The sequence below is a fragment of the Homo sapiens genome, chromosome 6 (assembly GCF_000001405.40).
Source record: "Homo sapiens chromosome 6, GRCh38.p14 Primary Assembly".
Classification (NCBI taxonomy): domain Eukaryota; kingdom Metazoa; phylum Chordata; class Mammalia; order Primates; family Hominidae; genus Homo; species Homo sapiens.
In genome coordinates this window covers 149,211,738-149,234,981 of record NC_000006.12, presented here as the reverse complement: position 1 = coordinate 149,234,981, position 23,244 = coordinate 149,211,738, and the positions used below count along the sequence as shown (strand labels likewise).

The 23,244-nt window shown below is 42.3% G+C and overlaps 1 protein-coding gene across 2 annotated transcripts in view, besides 2 other annotated features; it reads right to left on the bottom strand.

Annotated features, from left to right (window-relative positions):
• The window catches only part of TAB2 (TGF-beta activated kinase 1 (MAP3K7) binding protein 2), a 193,682-nt gene extending 176,626 nt beyond the window's left edge, over positions 1 to 17,056 (bottom strand). Inside the window, exons 1-3 of one of the 2 annotated variants that reach the window (NR_125861.2) lie at positions 16,898 to 17,056; positions 16,206 to 16,359; positions 4,823 to 5,050 (exon numbers count right to left, since the gene is read on the bottom strand). Coding sequence is in view for 1 of the 2 variants with exons in the window: in NM_001292035.3 (NP_001278964.1) it covers positions 16,206 to 16,211 (6 nt within the window). In the remaining variant the exon portion in view is untranslated. Of the gene's footprint in view, positions 1 to 4,822; positions 5,051 to 16,205; positions 16,360 to 16,897 lie in introns of those variants that run through there. The other variant, NM_001292035.3, reaches the window with a different exon arrangement.
• Positions 17,116 to 17,205: an enhancer, noted in NCBI's record as "active region_25249". NCBI's record gives its function as "activates an Ori minimal core promoter by ATAC-STARR-seq in GM12878 lymphoblastoid cells {active_cell/tissue: GM12878}" and the evidence as "EXISTENCE:reporter gene assay evidence [ECO:0000049][PMID:35858748]".
• Positions 21,771 to 21,890: an enhancer, noted in NCBI's record as "active region_25248". NCBI's record gives its function as "activates an Ori minimal core promoter by ATAC-STARR-seq in GM12878 lymphoblastoid cells {active_cell/tissue: GM12878}" and the evidence as "EXISTENCE:reporter gene assay evidence [ECO:0000049][PMID:35858748]".

Here is a 23,244-nt window from a genome sequence, read left to right as displayed (position 1 = left end):
TGAAAATCTAAAAGTGGCACTTAGTGTTTATTCTTGTTACATGGTATGCCTTTGTTTTTGGTCTATTCTTAGGCCAATGCCATTTTTTAAAAAGAGTGTGTTTTTTTTTTTTTTTTTCACACTCTCTAATCTTAGTCGTCTCATCTTTTTATCTTCTACTTATCTGGCACACATGCCTTTGATGTTTCCTTCAAATCACTGAAAAAATCTCACACAGTTCTATGACACAACCCAGGGAACTCCCTCCAGGTTGAAATCAATTCATTAATCATCTCAGCACAGTGTATTGTCTGCTAAGAACCCAACCTAACTGCACTCTATTTTCCCATCTTGTCCACAAGAAAATGAATAAGCAGCTCCCTGGGATGTCTGGCTGACAGCGTCATTTGCAAGGTACATGCGGCAGGAGGTGGGCAACTGTGAAATGGGGAGGTTGATTTTCCATTTTCTTTTTTGTGGGCACCAGTTTCTCCCAAACAAAACCTTACGCAAAACCCTAATACATACAAGATGGCAGTGAGTAGCTCGGGGTGAAGCTGGGGTGTGGGTGGGCAGTGGTTGACTTCCTGCTGGCCCCAGTGCCCTTCAGCCAACCCCTCTTCAGCCTCTTACTTTCCTCCTGGCACCTCTCAAGAAAGGGGTGACCTCTAGGGGGTTATGGTTTCAACATTCTGATTTAAAACATCCGAGTAGCAAGAGTTCCCTTTATTACTTCTTCTGTCTTCAAGTCTGCACATGTCAGCAGGGGAAGCCAAGATTTTATCAGATAGTCTGCTTTTAGTAGGTTTCTCTTTTATCTTAAAAATGTTATTGAAAACCTCCCATGTGAAAACTTCATACTAGGAGCGGTTTGTGAGTCATAGGTGTCTTGTTCAATATAGTTCTTAAAGACTTGGTTGAAAATACAAATGACAAAAATGTGACTGATTATTATTATTAAAAGGTTAAAAAAATCATAAACTGAAGTGAAGTACTGTTGGAACTTCATAGGAATAAATGTAAAAATGCCACATTTACATTTCATAAGCGAATTACACAAGGATAGGATTGAGAGGTCCAACCTAACAGCATTTGGGGAGGGTTGGAGGGCTTCATGGTGGTAAAAAAATTATATTATTGTTTATGGAGAGCCCGTTATGGATCAAGCATTGGATATATTAGGTTGGTGCAGAAGTAATTGCAGTTCTTGCCATTAAAAGTAGTTGCAAAAACAACAATCACTTTTGCACCAATTGAATAGATTAAGGTGAGTTTCTGGCCTTGAGAAATTTACAATCTAATAAACAAGTATATTGTGAAGTGTAAAGGAAAGCAGGACTAATCTATTGGAGAAAACCTTCCTAGGGGGTTTTCATTTGAAGAATGTCAGATCCATGAGTCATTTGGTAAACAATTACTTAGTGCTTTGTTAGGGGGCAGTTACATGTTGGTGATTCAGGGATAAAAAACCACTTCTGGCCTTTAAGAGGCTCATAATATAATGGAGGAGACAAACCAATGGCTCAACCATGACACTTACGTGTGACAAATCAGATGAAGAGATAAGAACTGGTTGCTGGGCCCTGGGTGGCTCTGGGCCCAGGCAGGAAGGAGGTTTAGTTTGCTGCTTTCTGCGGTGAGCTTTCAGGATCAACTTTCTTGGCCTACAGTAGAGGCGTCTCAGTGGAGAAGCCAAGGAGGCACACTGAGCGGAGGGAGGTTTGTCTCGGACCCTGGATGACAGATTCTTGGTCACTGTGCTAAGTGCCCAAGTTGTGACTTGTGCTGGAAAGCCCTTGTTTCTCACCCCCCGCCAGGTAGTTACCATGGCATTCATGACTTCCTTGGTTATTTCCTGTCATCATTTGTCCCCACCCATGAGTGCCTGGCTACCTCCATCTTCCGGCTGGTGGGTCTGCATGCAGGATATATCACTCCTGGTGTGAGGGGTGGACACTAGGCAGGTGAAACAGGGCTATTATGTACTATGCCCTGGCATGGGAGTGGGTACTCCTGGCCAGGATGTCAGCTGTGCCTGCCTTTTGGGCTTCGACTTCCACACAGGTCGCTGTGAGGGAAGTACAGCAGCATCCCTCAGGATGGGCCAGGGGTACGACAGCATTCCAAGGCTTGTTCTGCTCTGGGGCACTTTCTCTGGAGGCAGTTTAGTGTAGAGGATGAAAGCCTGCTTGGAGCCTACTTCTCCAAGCCTCAGTTTCCTCATCTGAAAAATGGAACTCTACTTTGTTGGATTAAAGGAAATAACTAATAGAAGGCAATAAACACAATGCTTGCTATATAGGGACAGCTAACTACACCTAGTGTTATTATCCAGTTCAGTGATACCCTCCCCCCACTTCTATGGTTTGAACAAGGCATAGCCTCCCTTAGTGGTATTCCTGTCATCGGCCTTGTTCCTGCCTCAGTGACACTGTGAGATCATAGTTCTGTCTTGTGTTAATATATCAAGCTCCTGGGCTGAGGGTGGTGGCTCACGCTTGTAATCTCAACACTTGGAGAGGCCGAGGCAGGCGGAACACTTGAGGTCAGGAATCCTAGACCAGCCTGGCAAAATGGTGAAACCCCGTCTCTACTAAAAATACAAAAATTAGCTGGGCGTGGTGTTGTGTGCCTGTAATCCCAGCTACTTGGGGGGCTGAGGTAGGAGAATCACTTGAACTGGGGAGGCGGAGGTTGCAGTGAGCTGAGATGGTGCCACTGCACTCCAGCTTGGGCGACAGAGCGAGAGTCCGTCTAAAAAAAAAAATCAAACTCCCTTTGTTTCTGTGTCTGTGGGTTGGCTGGTGGTCCCCGAGGCCTGGCCTCGTGCTCTTCCCTCTTCCTTATTTCTGCTGAACACTAAGGAACACCTCCCCAATCATTCTTCTCTTTCTAGCGCACGTCTTGTTCCCTGTCCTGTAAGTTCACAGAGTTTTCCCCCTCCACCCTCAAATTTCTGTTTCTGATCCTCACAATCAGGTCAGTGAGCTTCCTGTTAAGCATGTTTTCCCAAGCGTTTGTAGATCCTCTCGCTGTCCTTTGCCAGTAACCCGTTGCTCTGGGTAGGGAGCCCTGGTCCAGAAACCCTGCTCTCCGATACTCTGTAAAAGCCAGCTGTTCACTCCTCTCTTTTTTGCTTCCAAAGTTGTGAAACTTCAACTGGAAGAAGAAATGTAAACACCTCCTCTGCTCCCCTGATGTTTGAGCTTCCTCTTACTTGAGGACCAGAGATACGGTCTAAATGTCTTCCCCACTGTCAACTTTCCAAAGGAGATTTTCACACTCATTTCGAAAATACTTTGCTTAATTTTAGGTGTTTTAATATAGGAGCTCTAGCTTAGCTTATTTAAATTTCTTCTTTCAAGAGAAATTAGACTCATCTACATATGTACATATGCAGTGATTAAGTGCTTTTCCCAAGACAGTCAATATTATATAGAAAAGACATTTAAAGCGTGTTCAACTTACTTTAGGTATCACCCCCAAATCAAGTTTAAAATTTAATTTGTAGGAAAATTAGAAGAAAACACCACAAAGAGTTGTTAAACAAATGATTGCTTCCTACATACATACATGCAATTTACAGAATGCAATTAAGTATCTGATTGCATAAGTATATAACCACAGATGCATGCTGTTTTCTTGCTACTTTTTCCACCATTTTCTATGGAACAGAAAATAAAGTCTCTGACATTAAAGTGGTGACTGTTCAAGCTCACAAGGCATGCGGTAGTTATTAATCATCAGCTCCACTGCCCTTTTCATATGTAATAAAATGGAATCATTGTCCACATTTCGTCTCCCCTTCCTAATGTTCCCCAAATACTGGTGTAAAAGTTCAGAAGCACAAGAACTGAATTGTAATGAGGTGAGGCTGCAAGTTTAGTGTGGCAGCCTCTGATTAGAATGTAGGTATCCTGAAGGCAGAGAGACCTGCTTTCTATCTCACAGGGTTCCTTCTGAGAGCGCCCATTGGGAAGTGGGCTGACCAGCTCAGTAAGTGAGCTTGTCCAATTCCTACCCCATAGCACATCTCTCTCATGCAGCAAAACCCAGGACTGTGAATGCACAAAACATGCAGGAAGCCAAGGGGCCTGTTTTCAGTTCCCCTAAAATGCCAGAATAGCAGCCTGACCATAGAAAAATACTTACTGTAATTTCCTAACCTTTGCTGTGAATGTCAGTGTGTCAAAAGCGGGGTCCAATAGCTAGAATGAAAATAGACCTTCTAGTTCATGACAGCTCATCCTTACGGCCTTGTAGGGCAAGGAGGCTTCCACTGAAGCCATCCAATTTACAGATTTCCCTGTCCTGTGTGGATTATGACTGCCTAGAACTGTCAATGAGCTTATTATCAAGGACCTGGAGTCAAGCATCACATGGACCACTGAGCTTGCTCTGGTGGCTGTCTAGAAAACTTGATACATTTATTTTTACACTCTATATTCCTTGCCTCATGTACTTGACCTAGGAGATATCTATTATTGATCTAAGTTGGACCAAATCAGTTTATTGGCCTTTTAAGGTTGAAGAACTCAAGCCCCACTGATGAATGCAGGAGTAGAAAACTAACAAGCGTGGACTTACTGGGCATAAAAGCTGTGATTCTCAGACTTGTGGAGCTTAGGGGTGTCCACAGGCCAATACTTCTAAGATGAGTGCAGAGGGAAGTTCATCACTTCTGATGAAGGGACTATCACTGTCTGTGTCCTGACTAGCATATAGATGGGGCTCAACATGTTGAATATGTGATTAGATGAATTGATAAATGATTGCAAACATTATTGCAGGATGAAACTGAAGAAGTACTCATAATTGCAATAAATGCATCAGACCACAAGCCTCTCTCTTTGTTTAATTTTATCAGTTTCATCCAGTAGGTATTTGGCCTGGAAGAAGAGAGAGGGAGCTGAGATTTCACGACACAAAGTCCATTCAGCCAAACTTGGGCTTTTTGACATTCAACTGAACTTGGAGCCAAGCCTTTCCATTATTCTAACTTCTTACCCACTTCTGGGAGAGGTGTTCAAATATATTTCCAGATTTTGAAATGAGCCAAGGTCCTCAGAAACTGCAATTAGAATTAGGGAAATTTAAAACTTGGATCCAAATAATAACATGACCATTCAAAGAACAAATAAACCAACTCGACAGCACTCTGCTCAATGGCTTGCAAACTTAACCTACAAGGGCACCATTGGAGTCAAGGATGACATTTTAGGCCCCCTGTGGTGCAAATAAGAAACTTAAGATGAGGACTTGCAAGGGTTCAGTCTCACTGACCCAGAGAGAGTACAGGAGAGAGTCTGAGTGTCCACAGTGCCCACCAGGTCCCCAGATCCCGGCCCTGCTGGATCACCACCTATTGCCAGGCCTCCTTTACGTGCCCTGCTGACTCTGTGCAGGATCCGGTGACCCTCATGGAAAGAAGCCATGCTTCTTTCTGGCCTGCTCATTCTGCACAGTGTAGGTCTGCAGATATCAGGAGAAAAACATTTTGCCATGATCAATTGTGCAGACTCCCCACTGTTGTCAGCAGCCCCTCACCCCTTAAAATAAAAGAAAAAAATTACACACACACAAACACACACACACACACACACACACACGTCTTTAAAGGTTTGCTGGGTGCCATCTGCATGGAGCACACGTTTTCTTTGTTAGTAGAAGCACGGTGCCAGTTCAGGGTTTTACGTTGCACTGTTGACAGTTTCAGCCTTATTCTTGTGTTTAGTTACTGACACTGCATGTTTTTTCTTCCCCCTTGGTTTTGGCATCTCTGGTGTTTTCTTCTTTTTATCTGTCTCTCCCTGCTCCCTGCCCTATCCTTAGGTTTTAGACGGCTGGCTTGCTTTGTTTCTGCGTGGATTACATTACAAATGCTTGTTTGAGCTTTATTCTTCTAATGGATCTGTATGTGCTAACTTTGCTCTCCCTTCTATTTTATTGTGAGTGTCACTCTTTGCTGCCATCTTTCCAATGGTTATTTCCCCCTTTTTTCCATTTCTCAAACAAGAAGAGTTGTTTGAGGGGTCACTGTGCCCTCTCTCCAGAGAATGCTTTCAGCATCTGTGTGGATTCTCTGAGCATGTATGTGAGTGTGCACATGCGTGCATGCACTCACACACACACATGCATGCACGCACACACATCCATCTTGCTTGACTAATTGGCCATGGCTATCCTGGCATTCCTGTGGTTCTTACAGGCCCATGTGATTGAATTGGTACATTGGGACTCTTAAACCGAACACATTTAAAGGGTTGATTTAGAGAGAGCTTTGACAAAGGCTCTTTTAATTATTTTTCCTCTGCTTTGCCAGCGCACATTGCTGTAGCCGGTCAGAGGCTGGTGCCTGAATCGTTAGGGGGCTAAGCCATTAGGTGTTCCTGCTTATTCTGCAAATATAACAGGCTTATCACGTAGAACCCTGTCTCCAGCTGGTTTAAAATGTAGGTGGTGCCAGTGGGTAGCAGCTGTCACAGGCTGGGGAGCCAGGAGATGGTGGGGACGGTTCACAGTGTGAGGAAGTCAGAGTTGAGAGCTCCGTACAGTATAATGCACTCTTCCATTCTTACACCCTGGTGGCCGAGGGTTCTGACGGGCAATCTGCCTCCCCAGAGTCCCCAGATGCCACCCTCACCTTGTCAGCCAGATTCCAGGCAAGCTTAGCACTGGCTTTCAACACGTGGGGCCAGAACACTTAGCCGCATTGCAAATAATGAATAATTTATACATTTGTAATTCAAATGGTCATGGTGATGCTTAATTTAAGAGAAAAGTTGTTGTAAATGCGGGAGAAATGGATTCATTTCAGATTTTTTTTAAATTTTAAATTATTATTTTCCTTAGGTTTCAAGTTTGGGGCAGGTTCTGTTTTTGCAGCTGCTTTATCTGACTTGGCGCTGGGCTTAATGGCTTTGAGGCAGTGTTGATCAGATAGGGTGGTGCTATGGTGGGACGTTTCACTCAATAATAGGTACTGATTTGCTTTTTTCATCCTGAGAAATGAGGTGACTATAGACATTTTATTTGTTCTCTCTCTGTGGCTACGCTGGCTTCTTGCCCCAACTATGTTAGCAGATTTTTTAAAAAACATTTTATTATGAAGAGTTTCAAACACACACAGAAAGTAAGGAGACCAAGTATAAACAACCTTCACGAACCCATCACCCAGTAATAACAATGATCAAGGCGACCACTCCCATCTCACAGATTATTTTAAAGTAAATTCCACATTTTACAAATCATTTCATTTGTAAATACTTCAGCATGTTAGCAGCTCTTCTTGATTTTCAGGAAGGATGACTTATATCTTGCCCAAGGTCCAGAAAAGATTCCTCACTGGGGATGTTCTGGGGGCAATCGCAGTTTTATGGAAAGGGTGGGCAAGTGGCAAGCCGGCCTCACCCCCGAGTGACATCACATAGGAAACCAGTGTCTTGAAGGCATGCCCTGAAGTGCCTCTGCTCCCTCCACCCCTTAGCCAGTGGCCTGGCATCGTGGGCATTTGCCTTGTCTGCTTGTTGGTGGTAACATGACGCTCTTTCTCTTGCAGCCCGTATCAAGTGTTTTGAGTATCTGAATAGCCTATGTCTGGGACATCAAGGGGTCAGATTTTTCACAAGCAATCTTGACTCATTTTTTAATATTTTCAACCAAAAGTAGACTCTGAAGGTTGTAGTTAGGATAATTAAATTTTACTGGAGCAAAGAGAAGATTGTAATTAAAAAATGACCTTGACATAGTACCTAGTCATTTATAGGAAAAGGCTTAATTTAATAATTTGTTGACCATTTCTACTTTCTGTAATTCATATAACCAGGAAAGAAGAAAAATCTCTCGTTTTAATATTAAAGGTTTCTTAGAAGAAGTGAATCTTTCTTTTAGTAATATGTATGCTCCTGCAAAAACTATACCTACACTGTTTCACCAGGTTTTTTTTCTTTGAAGGGCAGTTATAAATAATTTCTGTTGGATCTGGAGTTTTCCACAGGGATTTTGAAATAAATCTGTTAGAGAACCAAATAACCCTTTTGAAAAGTGAATAACCACCCTCTTAATTCATTTGTTCATAGACTGATTCATTTATCCAACACTTTTGAGCTCTAAACACTTCGTTGATTTGTACATTTTATAAATTTGGGTTTAGGTGCACCCAGCATTGTCTGTTTGGAATGTTGCTTTTCTAAGCAATGGCCTCATGGAACTCAATAACTGAAATGATTACACTGGGATAAAAGTACATTGATATTAGGAAAATGCAAGTGTCTTACATTTGTTTTTGCACCTAGTATCTTACAAAAACGAAACAAAAACACAGCATTAAGTGAACAGACACTGCTTTGTGGTGGGATTTGAAGGGTCCAAGAGCTGCCCATCTTCCTATCTTTCTGCTTTCTGACTTGTTCCCGAGGAGGCTCAGTTAAGATAAAACAGTTTTTACCAGGGAAAGGAAGAAAATATTATTGTAGATTTCTAAGAATAAATCATCAGAAGTAAGCACATCAGGGTGTGTGAGCATCACACAGCAGTATCTGCGGAGGTGGGGACTGACCACGGAATAGGGATTGGAGAGGATTATGGATGCCAGTTAATGGTTTTTATGCATGGACAGACAGACTCACACCCGAGGACTAATAGGACCACGTTCTTTGGAGTCACTGAAGAGCGGAAGCACGCGGGTCCTCGCACTTCTCCTACCCGTTAAGTTTTGATTCACTCTCAGCCTACAGCCATGCCTTCACTGGAGCTATTTTCTGTGTCCTATAATGGGCAGGCCTTCCTCCAAATCCAGGTGCCCGAGCTATACCAAACAACAGTCTCCACCCTGGATGGCTAGGGAGCGGGATCCTCTCATTCATTCTCACTGATCTAAGCCCAGTTTAATGAGAGCCCCTCTATGTTCCTGGTGGTGGCTGTTGTGTACTTTTATGAATCGCTTTTGTCCTGGGGCAGTTTAATCCCTTGTTTCGCTTCAGAGCTTCTGAGAGCACAGGCCTCAGTGGGACTCAAGCCCCTTTCACTTCAGCGACCCTCCTGGGCCTCATGTCTGCTTGTGTTCCCTTGCTTATTCTGCTTGAACTTTTAGTGCTTTGATCTCGGATTCTTAGCTGTTAGTATTCCGCTTCTCAAATTCTGCTTGTTTTTGGAATACTTGAAATGTTTTAGTCTGTTATTTCCCAATTTTTAAGCAATGGGAGTACCTAACACCAAAACATACATTTTCATTCACAGCCTCCAGCAGGAAGAATGGCTGCTTTTCACCGACTGCCTCGTGATTTTTATAGCGGGTGGAGTTTACTTGGAATCTGTCCAGTTTAAAAATTGTGTCCCCTATCATTGGCTATGGGACAAATAAAATTCCCATTTGTATTCTAACACCATGATTGATCCACAAGAGGGAGGGAAGCCCAAAGGGAGTTCCCCAACTGTCCTTTGCCCTGCTCTGTCTGACTCTGCCTGCCAGCTGCAAGAAGATGTTGGCTTTATTTCTTTTTCTGCCTGGTATTCCATGGGTCATGTCAAAAAACCTTGGACTACCTCTGGAATCTGACAAACTCTAAAAAATTTCCCTTAGACATAGAATTTCACTTCTTTTCATTAATAGATCCATATTCTTTTTCTTTCCAATATTCTTTTTTTTTTCTTTCCCCCGCTAGTCAAGTACCTTCCAATTATCTGATGTACAAATTGGATCTAGTTATGGTAAAACTGTCAAACACAGATGGATTTTGATGGCCTACAAGCAACTTCTCAAGTTGATATTACTGATATTTCAAAAAGTTTGTGTTCCTGTTGCCTGCTTTTCGAATAATTACAAGTTTTCCATTTCCGGTGTTTGGCGTATAAGCTCCTGAAAGCAGAGTCAGTGTCTTCATCTTGTTGTTCAATTTGGCTGTAATGTCTGTAGCAAATTGCAGTCCCAAATATGTTTTAGCTAAAAATGCCAGCTTCACAAAACAGTATTAATAGAAAAGTATTATAAGAAATTTTAAGCACTTGACCAAAACACAAATTCCAGAAAGAGACCAATTAATTCCAACATCCTTTATATACATAGAACTGAAAAATGGCTAAAAAGCAGCATATGCTATCAATTACACTGGCACTTTCTAAAAAATGTGTATGTAGAAGAAAATACCTTAATTCCTTTGTCAGTTCTCCGTTTATTTTTCAAGGGCCTGCTTAACTCCAACATAAAGGTATGTAGGATGGCATTAACCTACGTATCAAACTACGAGTTGAAAAGGGAAAGCAAAGTATATTCTTACATGCCATTTTAGGACTGGTTTCTTCCTGTTGCTCTTTTGTTCTTTGAGACATTTGTGCTCTCCCTTACCTCTTGTGGCACTGTGGGCTGGCACTCTTCCCTGGACAGGCACCAGACTTTAGCAGGATGAATATTTCCTTCATGTCATCTGAGTGAGAACCGCCGTAAGTGGTGCCACAAGTTATACTAAACCAAGGATTACCAGGAGCCAAAGCATAACAGGATCCATCATTTCAGAGTTCAGCCCAGGAGCCTGTGATATACATGTCAGCATTTGACAGTACAGATAGGAAGAGTTACGGGAAAAATCCGTGCCATTTGACTTGATCCAGGAAAAAGTTTTTGGAGTTTCAGAGGTTAAAATTAATGAATTTTTGCTAAAAAGTTCCTCCTCTTCTAAAAAGGGAGGCTTTGGCTATCTTCCAAAATGATTGGGTCACTGTATTGTAAGATAATACTTAAATGCAATTAGCTCCTTGTACTATTCAAAGTGTGTGCCAGGAATACATGATTACATTTCGTTCATTATCACCCTTCCCGACTCATGGGCTGCTATAAACATCATTTTCTTCCAAGGTCAGCTGTAGTTACTGCACTGAGAACTGTCCAGGCATATTGAACTTTGGAACTGGGTCCAACATGCCCCTTTAAAAGGTGATCACATTGTTTTTCCCTGCTTTCCATTTCTGAAAAGATGAAGTTTTGGCCAGTGGGTACTCTACATATCTGGCTGCAAAGAGGTTACTAGGAGCCAAGCAATGTGGTGCCTAATTTCAGCATTCACTTAAGTAAAGTTATTTATGACAGTCTCTACAGTTTTTTTTTTTCTTTTCCTAAAGGGGGAGGTGTGTAGTCTCAGCCAGATTAAAGGAATATTTACATTCAGCCTCAGCTGCTGATGCTTTTAAAATATGGCTTTGAAGGTTTAAACTAGGGATGGTATATAAAAAATGGAATTACATGTCCAGAAAATGCAAGCAGTCATTGAAAGCATCACTAAATCAAGTACTCAAATGGTAATACAGCTTAACATTTTTTTACATAAGCAGCTGAAACAACATGAGAACTCTCTAAAACGGTAGGGGCAATCAGTCTGTATCAGGCATTTAACCCCCAAAGCCACAGAAAACCTGCATAATGGGGACTGGAGTTGAGAGAATTGTCATTTTTATCCATCCAGCTTTTCAAATTGAAAGTATTTTCCAACAGATTAGGACAGGCCGGGAATCTGGATCATACTCTACAAAATAGCAAGACAATGGACAGCAAGAACACAGGCTATAATTTGGAAAATCACAGGGGTTCTTAGAATCATTTCATGTCAGAGCTGGACGAGTCTTAGAAATCAGTTGTTTTAATTTCTGTTTAGCTGCACAGATTCTGCAAACTAAAACAAACAAAAGAGGTACTGGAAAAGACTGACTGAGATGTCCTCATCGACAGGTCACAAAGCTCTGAGAACCAAATTCCACCACAGAAACATAAAACAGACTCAGGTATCTGTAATAAAATAGAGCTGGTGAATCCTCATTGTCTTACCCAAAAAGCTTTTTGTGAAGAAACATTCCTTTTGAATTTAATAAGATAGTCTTTTGAGTTTGTTTTTTGTAAACTCAATATATTTCAATATTTCATGTGGCATGCTTGTTGCTACTTAACAAAAAAGAATTTTTTTATTAGACTTGATCTTAGTTTACAAAATGAGTTTGGTACAGGAAATAATGAATAGAAGGGGGCAGTTATCACAATCTAATAGAAAGATGGATTTATAATACTCTCTTTTTTTGGTTAACTTTGCTTATTAATTAGTAATTCCTAACAGATGTGATATGGATTACTTAGGAAAAAGTGATTCTAGAAAAGTAGCTTTTCTAACTGCATAGAAACCTGAGATGTGAAAGAGAGAGATTGAGAGAGAGACACAGTCTTGCGCTGCTGCCTATGGCCAGGCATCAGCAAGAAAAGTGTAGGTCACACTTTGAATCATCTGTGAGTTCCTGATTTTCAAAGGGAGTAATTGTTATATAGTGTATTAGCCAGGGATCTCCAGAGAAACAGAACCAATGGCACATATAGAGATATGAAAAAAAAGTTTCTTTTTTTTTTTTTTTTGAGACAGAGTCTCGCTCTGTTGCCCAAGCTGGAGTGCAGTGGGATGATCTCAGTTCAGTGCAACCTCCGCCTCTCAGGTTCAAACAATTCTCCTGCCTCAGCCTCTTCAGTGGCTGTGACCACAGGTGCCCACCACCATGCCTCGCTAATTTTTATATTTTTAGTAGGGACAGGGTTTCACCATGTTGGCCAGGCTGGTCTCCAACTCCTGTCCTCAAGTAATCTGGCTGCCTTGGCCTCCCAAAGTGTTGGGATTACAGGCATGAGCCACCACGCCTGGCCAGGAAAGGTTTATTATGAGGGATTGGCTCGTGTGATTATGGAGGCTGAAGAGTCCCACAATCACCTGTTTGCAAGCTGAAGGCCCAGGAAAGCTGGTGGTGTAATTCCAGTCCAAACTGGAAGGCCTGAGATCCAGAGAGGCCGATGGTGTAAGTCACAGTCATAATCTGGAGGCCAGAGAATCAGAAGTGCTGATGTCCAAGGGAAGGAGAAAATGGCTGAATGGCTGTTCCGGGTTAGAGAGAGTGAATTCTCCCTTTCTCTACCTTTTTGTTCCATTCGGGCCGTCTACAGATTGGATAAGGATCACTCACATTGGTGAGGGCAATTTTTACTCAGTCTACTGACTCAAATCTTAGTCTCTTCCAGAAATATCCAGGCATCCTTTAGTCCAGTCAAGTCGACACATAAAATTAGCCATCACACATACATTTATGTGGTCAAGAACGGGTGAGTAACTTTGCCTAAGTCTGGTAGTGGGAATGGAAATCAGGGGTTGGAATGCTGGCATTTCCCAACATCAGACCTGGGCTCAGACAATCAGAAACTCACTTCTCCCCTCCTTCATTCCAGGACTGATTATCTAGCAGAGCATATTCTACTTAGGCTTCATAAACAAAGTCCTCCCTTTGCCCTTGCCCTTCTTCCTAGACTACACAGAAGGACTTTTACCTGGCGAGTTAAGAGCCACAATCAGAGAGTGCGTTAAGTGTTTCACTGTGAGAAGGACAGGGACAGAAAAAGCCTGGCTTTTGAGAGTTCTCTCTCAGTTGGCTGTAGCAGTGGCTCTCTGTGATGCCCCAAGCCCTTTAAGGGGAGCCATGAGGTCAAAACTATTTTTATGATAACACGGAGATGCTATTTGCCTTTTTTACTGGGTTGACTTTGCACTGATGATGCAGTAGCCATGGAGGCGGATGAAAATGGCTGTGTTTTAGGACAAGTCAAGGCAATGGCTGGCAGCAAGCTGTGGTAGCAGTCATTGTGCTCATTGTTACACTCTGGCTTGTAAAATATGCTAGTGTCACTTAAGAATGCCCTTAGGAAGCAGTAGAAATTAATTGTAGTAATCTTGACCCTTGGTTACAGGTCTTTTGAGTATTTTCACACAATACTCATACATAAAGCACCTCTGCTGCTTATATTAATATAAGTGCCATGGTGGGTGGGAGGAAGACTGCTGTGTGGTTGTTGAGTTGTGAGCTAAACGTGCTGCTTTGTTTGAGGAGCACCATTTTACTTGACAGAATGACTGACAGGCAAACTGTGGTCATTCACAGTTGGCTACATGGCAGCAGTTTTCTTGAAAATAACTAAGTGAAGTTGTCATCTCAAGGAAAATAACTGACATTATTTGTTGCCAATGATACAATTCAAGGTTTCAAGTGGAAATCAGATGTTTTAAAAACTTGAATCTTCAGCCAGGCATGGTGGTTCACGCTTGTAATCCCAGTGCTTTAAGAGGCCAAGGCGAGTGGATTGCTTGAACCCAGGAGTTTGAGACTGGCCTGGGCAACATAGCAAGACCCTGTCTCTACAAAAAATGCAAAAATTAGCCGGGCATGGTGGTGTGTGCTTATAGTCACAGCTACGCGGGAGGCCGAGGTGGGAGGATTGCTGGAGCCCGGGGATCAGAGTTATAGTGAACCAAGATTGCGCCACTGCACTCCAGCCTAGGCGACAGAGCAAGACTCTGTCACAAAAAGCAAATGAACAATCAAAAACCCAACTTGAATTTTCCACTGTGGGCCTGACAGCTTCCCAAAACTTCAGAACTTTTCTGATGCTATTTGTAGTGATATTAATAGATGTAATCTTTGGGGATATTATATAATACAATATGCCAACATTTGGAAGATCTGAATAGCTCAGTGAGCTTCCAAATGACCAACGCATGGTGTCCCGTAATCGTGTGTGTATTCATAGTGAAATATAGTCCAATGGAGTTTAAAGTAACAGAGCAGGAAAAGTTCATTGATAATGAATTTGATTCCATTTGCAATTAATCTTTTTAAAAAAACTACCACTTGTTGAGTTTTGAGTTTTTGAATGGCATTAAAGAAGGATATCCACAAGTATCTGAAAGGTTTATAAAAATATTCCTCCTTTTTCCAACTACATATCTGTATAGAGCTGAATTTTCTTTACATATTTCAACCAAGACAGCGTAACAGATTGAATACAAAAGAAGGTATGAGAACCCATACGCTGTCTTCTATTAAGTCAACCATTAGAGATTTATAAAAACATACACATCTTACTCATTTTTTTAAACATGGCTTAAGCTTCATGAAAATGTTATTTATGCAAACGTGATAAGGTTATTATTTTTAAAAAATAAATTAATCAATTGTTTAAAAATTTCCCAGTTTTAAATTCCAGAATGGTATATGTCAATGGATCTGACCCACATAAACAAAAGTTCTTTGGGGTTTTCGATAATTTTTAAGAGCGTAAAGAGGTCCTGACATTGAAAAAAATTGAGAATTGCTTGTCTACAGAGTACGGTAAGGGTCTCTTGGGACTTTCAGGTCTATCAGAAACACACTGGGAACTATCAAAAGTAATGAAAGAATCTGGCCAGTCAGGATATGGAGAATAATTTCTTTGAAACAAGAGTAAACTGTTTCTAGGATACCACATCAATGCATAAGGTGCAGCGGGTGAATCAGAGCCACTGATTAAAAATAAAGGCAACATAAAGTACTGGGTAACTTTGAAAACAAAACAGCACAGACTTCTCTGACTTTAGTTGGTCATAAGAAATTTTCTCCAGCTCTTCATTTTTAAAAAAGAGAAATAATTTAAAGAGCAGGTTTGAATGAACAATAACTCAGTTGGTATCTCAATAAGGCCACTTTACTAGCGGGCAATCTGGGCAAACTAGTCTCTTAAGTTTGACCTTAGTTTCCTTATCTGTAAAATGGGGTAATAACACATACAGTTGTTAGTTATAAAGTGTGACACTGTTTACTTATATACTTGTCCCAGTACACACACACACACACACACACACACACACACACACAAATGTTAAAATATGAAACACTTGGTAAGCAAAAGTTAACCCTGGAAGCGGATTTGGCACAACTATGGGAAATGGTGGCCTTGCCTCATTGAGAACAGAGATTTTCTAACTGTGAAGCTTCTGGGCTCTGCAGTGGTTTGAATTTTGGGAAGTGTTCTGTATGTCCTTTAACTATCTGGTTGTCACTGAACGCTCCCAGCCCAATCATCCCCAGAGACTATTGTAATTAGTAACTGAGTAAGTGACAATGAAAGAGGGTTTATAAAGAAAATATATGCCATCCAAACAGAAAGTTCACAAGTTTCCTGGACACAGCTCTTTCTTTTCTAAATCTGTTTTTTGCTGGCAGGATGCAAGCAGTCTCTTTCCTTTACAGTCACAGATTTCAATGGCATTTTAAAAAGTACTAGGTCTCCTTTCTTTACTCACAGTGTGCATTTCCCAGGCATTTCTACAGAAGTTCAAACAGACTTCAGACACAAGATCACAGAAGATCCTTTCTCCAGAAACAATGACTGTTTCCTGCCTTACCTGCATTCTCAGTTGGTTTGCTTTGGAGGAATAAACTTAGTCTCAAATCCTTCTTCATCCAGGCAGTCATATTGAAACTGGATCAGATGGTGTTTAGATCTTTACAGCCTGTGGCCCTGAAGGAGTTCACCTCACTGAGCATTAGTCTTCTCATCTGTAAGAATATAAGAGTGTCTTTCAACCCCTACCCTGACCCTGTCCCACTGGAGGGCTTGCTTCTAAGAGGACAGCTCCTTTTGGAAGCATGAGCCAGAGACCCAACTTGAACCAGTGTCAGTCCAAGACTTGGATTCTCTTTTCAGGCTTAATGCCACTCTTCTTTTGCTTGTTCTTTCATCTTCTTTTAAATCTTAATTCCAAATGAGTCTCTTTTTTGTCCCTGATTAAGCCTTTTAATAAATCTTTTTTTCCTTGAATGAGTATTAATCCTTTTCCCTGAATAAACATAAAACATGTGCAGTGTTCTTTTGGCCTTCTGCAAGAATACATTGTTCTGTGTGGCCAAGAACCAACCTATCCGAGTACAAAATTTACTGCAAAGAATTTTTAGGTAGTGTCAAACAAGAGCCATTGAGGGCTAACTAACAATAAGCTTTCTACTCTTCTTTAAAGATTTGTCTAGTATATTTTTTAAGACTAACAAATCATCACTGAGTGCAGAAAGCCCAAAATTGCTCAAATAAGATGCATACCAGGTTAGTATGCAGTTCTGCAGCTCAGGGACCTAGGCTCCTCTTGTCTCGTAGTTCTGCTATGAATGGCCTCCATTCTCATGGTTGTTGTCATATTCTGAGACTGTTGCTCCAGCTTCAGCTTTTGCCTCCATACTTAACATTTCAGACTCCAGAAAGGAGGAAAAGGAAGTCCTATAAGAATTTTATTTTCCCCCAAGAAAAAATGCATAAAGTAGTTAAAATTACATCCCATTGGCCAGGACTCAGTCACATGGCTGTATCTAGTAGCAAGGGAGTCTGGGAAATGCAGTCTTTATTCCAGGCATCATGTGCAGGCTAAAAAGGGGAGAGGATTCTATTACTATACAGGAAGAGAAAACTGGGTATTGGGAGGCAACTAACAGCCTCTGTCACCAGTGGTTTTTATGCTGGTCTCACCATCTGGCCAGGAAGGAGAGATACAACAGGCTAAACCCAGAGTTGCCAAACTTTTTCTGTAAAGGGCCAGCTAGTTAATATTTTAGGCTTTGTGGCCATGCTGTCTCTGTTTCAATCACTCAACTCTGCTATTGTAGTGAAAACATGCATTGACAATATGTAAATGAATGTGTGTGGTAGGATTTGACACTTGGGCCTTAATTTGCTTACTCCTGAGCTAAACAGTAATACTAATACTAAAATTAAGACATATTCTTTACTTACTGTGAATGTGCGAGGCACTGTGCTGAGCTGAGCACCTCACAGACATTTTCTTAATTTCCTACAAAAACTCTGTGATGTAGGTAACATCATCATGATCATCACCAGTTTTATCTATGAGGAAACGGAGGCATGGAGAAATGAAATGATTTGCCGAAGGTCAATAGTTTGTAAGTGGCAGATGGGTTTTAAGTGGAGACATCAACTCTGGGACCCATTCCTACCTTTCTCTCTGAGAAAGTCTGGGCAAGGGGGCAACCAGAGGTTCATGACCAGGGATTTGCTCCAAGGCAGTGAATTTAGGAGGCACAAAAGACTTAAATAATGACTTTAAAAGTTTAGTACCTAGTTAGCAAAAATAGTTGGTTGAAGCTGTTAGACAGAGCGTTGGTAAGAAACCTCGCTGTGGGCCGCATCAAGAACTACTTTGTTGATTTAAGGGCTTAAGTGATCTTCTGAGAACCTTAATGTCTCCAAATCAAGGTAACTGGCTGTGTGTCGGTATTGGTGGGGCTTTTAGGGTGAGGGCCCCACTGCAGGTAGCTGTGACTAGGTCGGGGCTGCTGTGTACTAGCATGTGACTATGAAGAGAGCAGGAAGTGACATGTGTAGCTCCATAGGGCTGCTCAGGTCACGGTCTGAATTTCCATATGAGGTGGTCTAGTGGCCGGAGAAGGCAGAAGGAGACAGAATTCCAGGAACTGGGGAAAGCCTGGATGAATGAGAGAGGTGAGAGCCCCAGGGAGCTTTCTTTTCTTTTGTTTTTTAAGACAGGCTGGAATGCAGTGGCACGAACTCAGCTCACTGCAGCCTCAACCTCCCAAGCTCAAGCCATCCTCCCTTGTAGCAGGGACTACAGGCAAGTGCCACCACACCTGGCTGAGTGTTTTTCCTTTCTTTTTTTTTTTTTTTTTTTTTTTTTTTTGCAGAGATGGGGCTCTGCCTTGTTACCCAGGCTGGTCTCAAACTCCTGAGCTTAAGTGATTCACCTACCTCAGCCTCCCAAAGTGCTGGGAGAGCTTTATTTTCAAATAAAGGGCAAGACATTTGATTCGGAGGAGAGATAAAAGAGAAGGTGCCCCCAGATCTTGCTGCTAGAGTAATGCTTGAACCCAGCAGAAAACCCTCCTTCTCTGTAGGAAACTGGCAAGTCTATATTTTTAGCACCTAGCAACCTTGTATGACATACTAAGATTGCCCTCCAATGATGCTATCTCCAGGGAGGGCCGTTTAGCTAAGCAGAGCATGGGCCTCCTTGGCTGGAGCACTGACTTTGCCACCACAAGGCCTAAAGTTCCTTTCCAGCTCTTCATAATTTCTGGAAAGCCACCTGATTTCTCAAATCAGGGATAATTTATTATCAATAATCTGAACATTACATATGGTTTGCAGAGCAGCTGCATGTGTATTATTTCATTTGATTTTCATAACAACTCTGAAGAGAAGTGGTGAGCAAAATGAAATTAACACATATGGCTCTCAAATGCTAGGTGTGGCTGGTTTGATACTTTGCTGTGTACCATCTCATACAGTCCTTCAGCCATCCCGGGAGGTAGGCCATTATTATGTGCCTATTTTAAAGATGGAAAAGTAGACTCAGAGAACTTAAATAATCTGTCCAAGACCTGACGACTCACAGCTGGCATGTGATATTGCTTGACCTTGAACCCCATCTTCTGAAATCAGTTTCAGAGCCCCTCTCACTATTGTTCAGCCGTGGGTGCCCACAGAATGCACAAAAAGGAAGTAAACACTGGTGGATGTCAAGGACTTGGGCGGAAATCATCCTACCCAAATTCCAGAGCTACTGGTTCAAATAAAATTTAAAAACAACAACAGTCCCTGAAGAGAAGTAACCTGTGCAGGAAAACCGAGGGGCCTCTCAGTGGGTGCAGATCAGGCCTGGACATGTAGGGGCTCAGTACACCCTTCTTTAGTAATGGAGACCTGTGGCTGGGGACGGTGGCTCACACCTGTAATCCCAGCACTTTGGGAGGCTAAGGCGGGTGGATTGCTTGAGCTCAGGAGTTCGAGACCAGCCTGGGCAACATGGTGAAACCCCATCTCGGCCAAAAATACAAAAATTAGCCAGATGTGGTGGCATGTGCCTGTGGTCCCAGCTACCTGTGAGGCTAATGAGGAAGGAACGCTGGAGCCTGGGAAGTTGAGGCTGCAGTGAGCTGTGATCATGTAACTGCACTCCACCTGGGTGACAGAGCCAGACCCAGTCTCAAAAATAAATATATAAATAAATATATTTTTTAAGAAAAACAGTGAAGGCCTGTGTTCCTGATGGAACAGTGAACCTAACCAAGAAACAGTTGTTAATTTATTCATTCACCCATTCAACTGACATGTATTGAGAGTCACACTGTTCAGATGCAGGACACAAGAAGGCTGATGTCCAGTGACTACTTTGCAGTCAGGCCAGCTGAGGGTTTACAGATGGGCATCCCTTCTGATGGGTTGGAGTCTATGCCAGACCTGTTGTTAAATAATTTGGATACCACCACTAGATATAGTAATAAACAAGTTCCTGCCCTTGGGGCCTTATACTTTCATGAGGGGAGAGAGCTGATTTAAAGTCAGGCAGTGGTAAGAGCCATAATACCAATAGGACAGGGTGATGTGATGAAGGTGCATTAGGCATGGTAATCCTGAAAGGCTTTTCTGAAGAGGTGATATTTAAGCTGGCATCTAACATCAGGAGGGAGCCGGCCTCTGCAAGAAGGGCATCTCATGGAGAGGGAACAGCCACTGCGAGGGTCTGAGGTGGGAATAAGGCTGGTGTGTTTGAGACAGAAGGAAGTTCAGTGTGACTGGAGCACAGAGGGTGCGGGAAAGACAGGGGTACACAGGAGGAGTGGGGAGGGTGTGGCTGATTCACACAGGGCTCTGAAAGTGTTTGAAATTTCCTCTAAGTTTCAAGGAAACCATCGGAGGGTCTTAAACAAGGAGTGACATGATAGGATTTATGTTCCTAGATGATCACGTGGGTTGCAGTGTGGAGAATGGATTCTAAGGGGGCAAGACTGGATGCAGGGAGACTTGCTGGGAAGTTTTATAGTCATCTGGAGACTGTGACATGGACTGTGGAGACAGCCATGGTGATGGAGTGAAGTGGATTGCTTTGGGCTATATATTGGGTATGGAGTTGACAGCTGATTTGGACATATTGGAAAGGGAGAGGAATTGTGTTTGCCTCCGAGTTTTCGGGCCTGAGCAGTGAAGATGGAGAAGAGCAGGAAAGAGCAGGTTTTTCTGTGTCAGATAAGTTAAGTTTGAGATGCCTGTTAGATGAGTAAGTCAATGTGCTTTTATGTGCAAGACTTGTGGTATAAAAAGTAAACTACATAGATAACATGAAGAATCTCAGTCACATGATTGTAAAGGATTTCTTAAGGCTATTGCTGTGTAAGTGTGATAACATGTCAACACTCAGGGAAACTCTAAGGTGGTTATTAATTTTGGAGGCTATGATGTGCGCAGGAGAGTAGTAGAAGAGATACAGGAGAAGCTGGTGAGAGCCAGCTCATGAGAAGCCTCGTAAGGAGATGATGGGGGAACTACTGAAAAGATTTGAATGAAGAATGATGTGACCACATTGAGTGTTTTAAAAATCATTGTGAATGCAATATGCAGGAAAGATTGGAGGGACGTGAGGCTGGAGTCAGAGTGAACAAGGAAGATTTATTGCCATTGGTCCAGGTGATGGATGACAAAAGCTGGAACTCAGCTGATGACCACACAGAGGAAGCAGAGTGAGCAGATGCAAAAGATTTTCAAAAGACAGATGTGACTGTATTCGGGGATCTTTTGGCTGTGAGTGTGACAGTTTTCAGCGTGGGCGCCTGGGTAGATGCTGGGGCAATCAAATGAGATCCAGAGCATAGGTCCATGAGGACAGGGGTGGATCTTATTCTATTCTGTTTTTCTGGTGCCAACCCTTGTGCCCGTTTTCACTCTGAGGAGCTGATTGGCTTTAGCCTTTCCACTAAGTTCTTCCTCATTCAAGAAAGCCTTGTTCAATGAATTAGCCGAGAGCTAAATGGGATACCTGGGGCAACAGCAACATTTAAGAAGGCATTAAAGAGACTTGGTAGGTGTTAGGGGAACCAGAAACCTGGAGAACCAGGAACCAGCAGAATGGAAAGTGAAGAAATGGTCAACAGCCGTACTGAATGCCAAGGGAAGGTCAAATGAGACAGGGATTTACAAGTGTTCTTCAGGTTAAGGCAGCAGCAGTGTTAACCAGAGCAGCTTCAGTGGTGCAGCGAAGGTGGAAGCCAGGCAGTGGTGGGTGGAGGAATGAACAGGACAGGAAGTGGAAAATACTTGGCTGAAAAACTTGTGGGCAGTGTGGACAGAGTTGGGAGTTTTCTCACTCGTTTCTCAGTTTTCTCTGTGAATTAGGAGGAAGCAGATAGTCTACTGAAGCTGAAGGAAGCCATGTGGAAGATTTAAAGTCAGCAGTCAGTTGAAAAAAAGAGTTTTAGAAAACTCAACTTTGAGAAGTAGAAAACTTTGATAGAGACTTGAGTTTGACCTTGAGTTAGCCAAAGTGCAGAGACATGAAGTCTTCTACTTGAGGTCATAGAATATGTCTCTGTCTGAACTCAGAATTAATCCTGGGGGGAAGAGGGTACACTTGAATGCCTCTGCTCTTGATTTTGAGCTTGGTACCTTTGGACTTCGGTTTCATTTAGTATTCCAGGTCAGGTCAGTTTGTTGTTTTCCGTTTATAGGGTTGATTCACTTTAGCACTTCCAGTAAACACAGAATAGCTTGCATTTGGACTTCTATCCACTGCTGACACCAGTAGAGGCTGGGAGGCTGTTAGGCATTCTAAGTGCGGCCCTTCAGAAAGAGACGTTACACTCTTGTTTCTTCTGATAGATGTTGGTAGCTGTCCAGAGAAAAGTTAAAGTTCCCATTGCTTTTTCCAGAAAGAGTAATGGGGAGCCCTTGTGTTCCAGCCAACAATCCCTCTTCTCAATAAAACAAATAGGTTCTAATGCTGGCAGCGTTCGAAGCTGTTGCTGAGAACATAAAGGCTGCTCTGTCTCACTCCGTGGTAAATATACAGCAAACATTTAACTCATTACTAGATAAATCACACTGAGATGACTCAGAAGAAGATGTGTCTGGTACCGGCTTTTAATTTTTTTTTAACCTTGATGAATATATTTCTCCTTTCTTGACTAATTCATTCGCCAATACTTAACTAAATGTATTTAACAACAGCAATTTAAACAAGGCAACTAATGAGAGAGATGAATTGTTTAAGGAAAATATGTGGCAGAGATTCTTCATGCTCACCCAGTGGTCAGGTGTCCCTCTCCCTTTCCAAGCCTTCATGGGCCAGGTGGGTCTTGGACAATTCTGGCCAATGGGAAAATGGACAGGAGTGAGATGAACATTTCTAGGTAGGCCTGGCACTGAAAATCTTCCTGTGGATCCTCTAGCTCTCTTTTCCCTTCTATGATGATCATGGAGACCATGTGCTGTAGTTGGAATATATTTAAGATGGAGGAGGGCCGCCCAATTTGTATCAGGCACTATGTGATCAAGAAGTAAGTCTTTATTGCATTAAGCCATTGAGATTTCTTTTTTTTAGAAAACTGTTACTGACAAAGCCTATCCCAACCCAATTAATACATAAATCA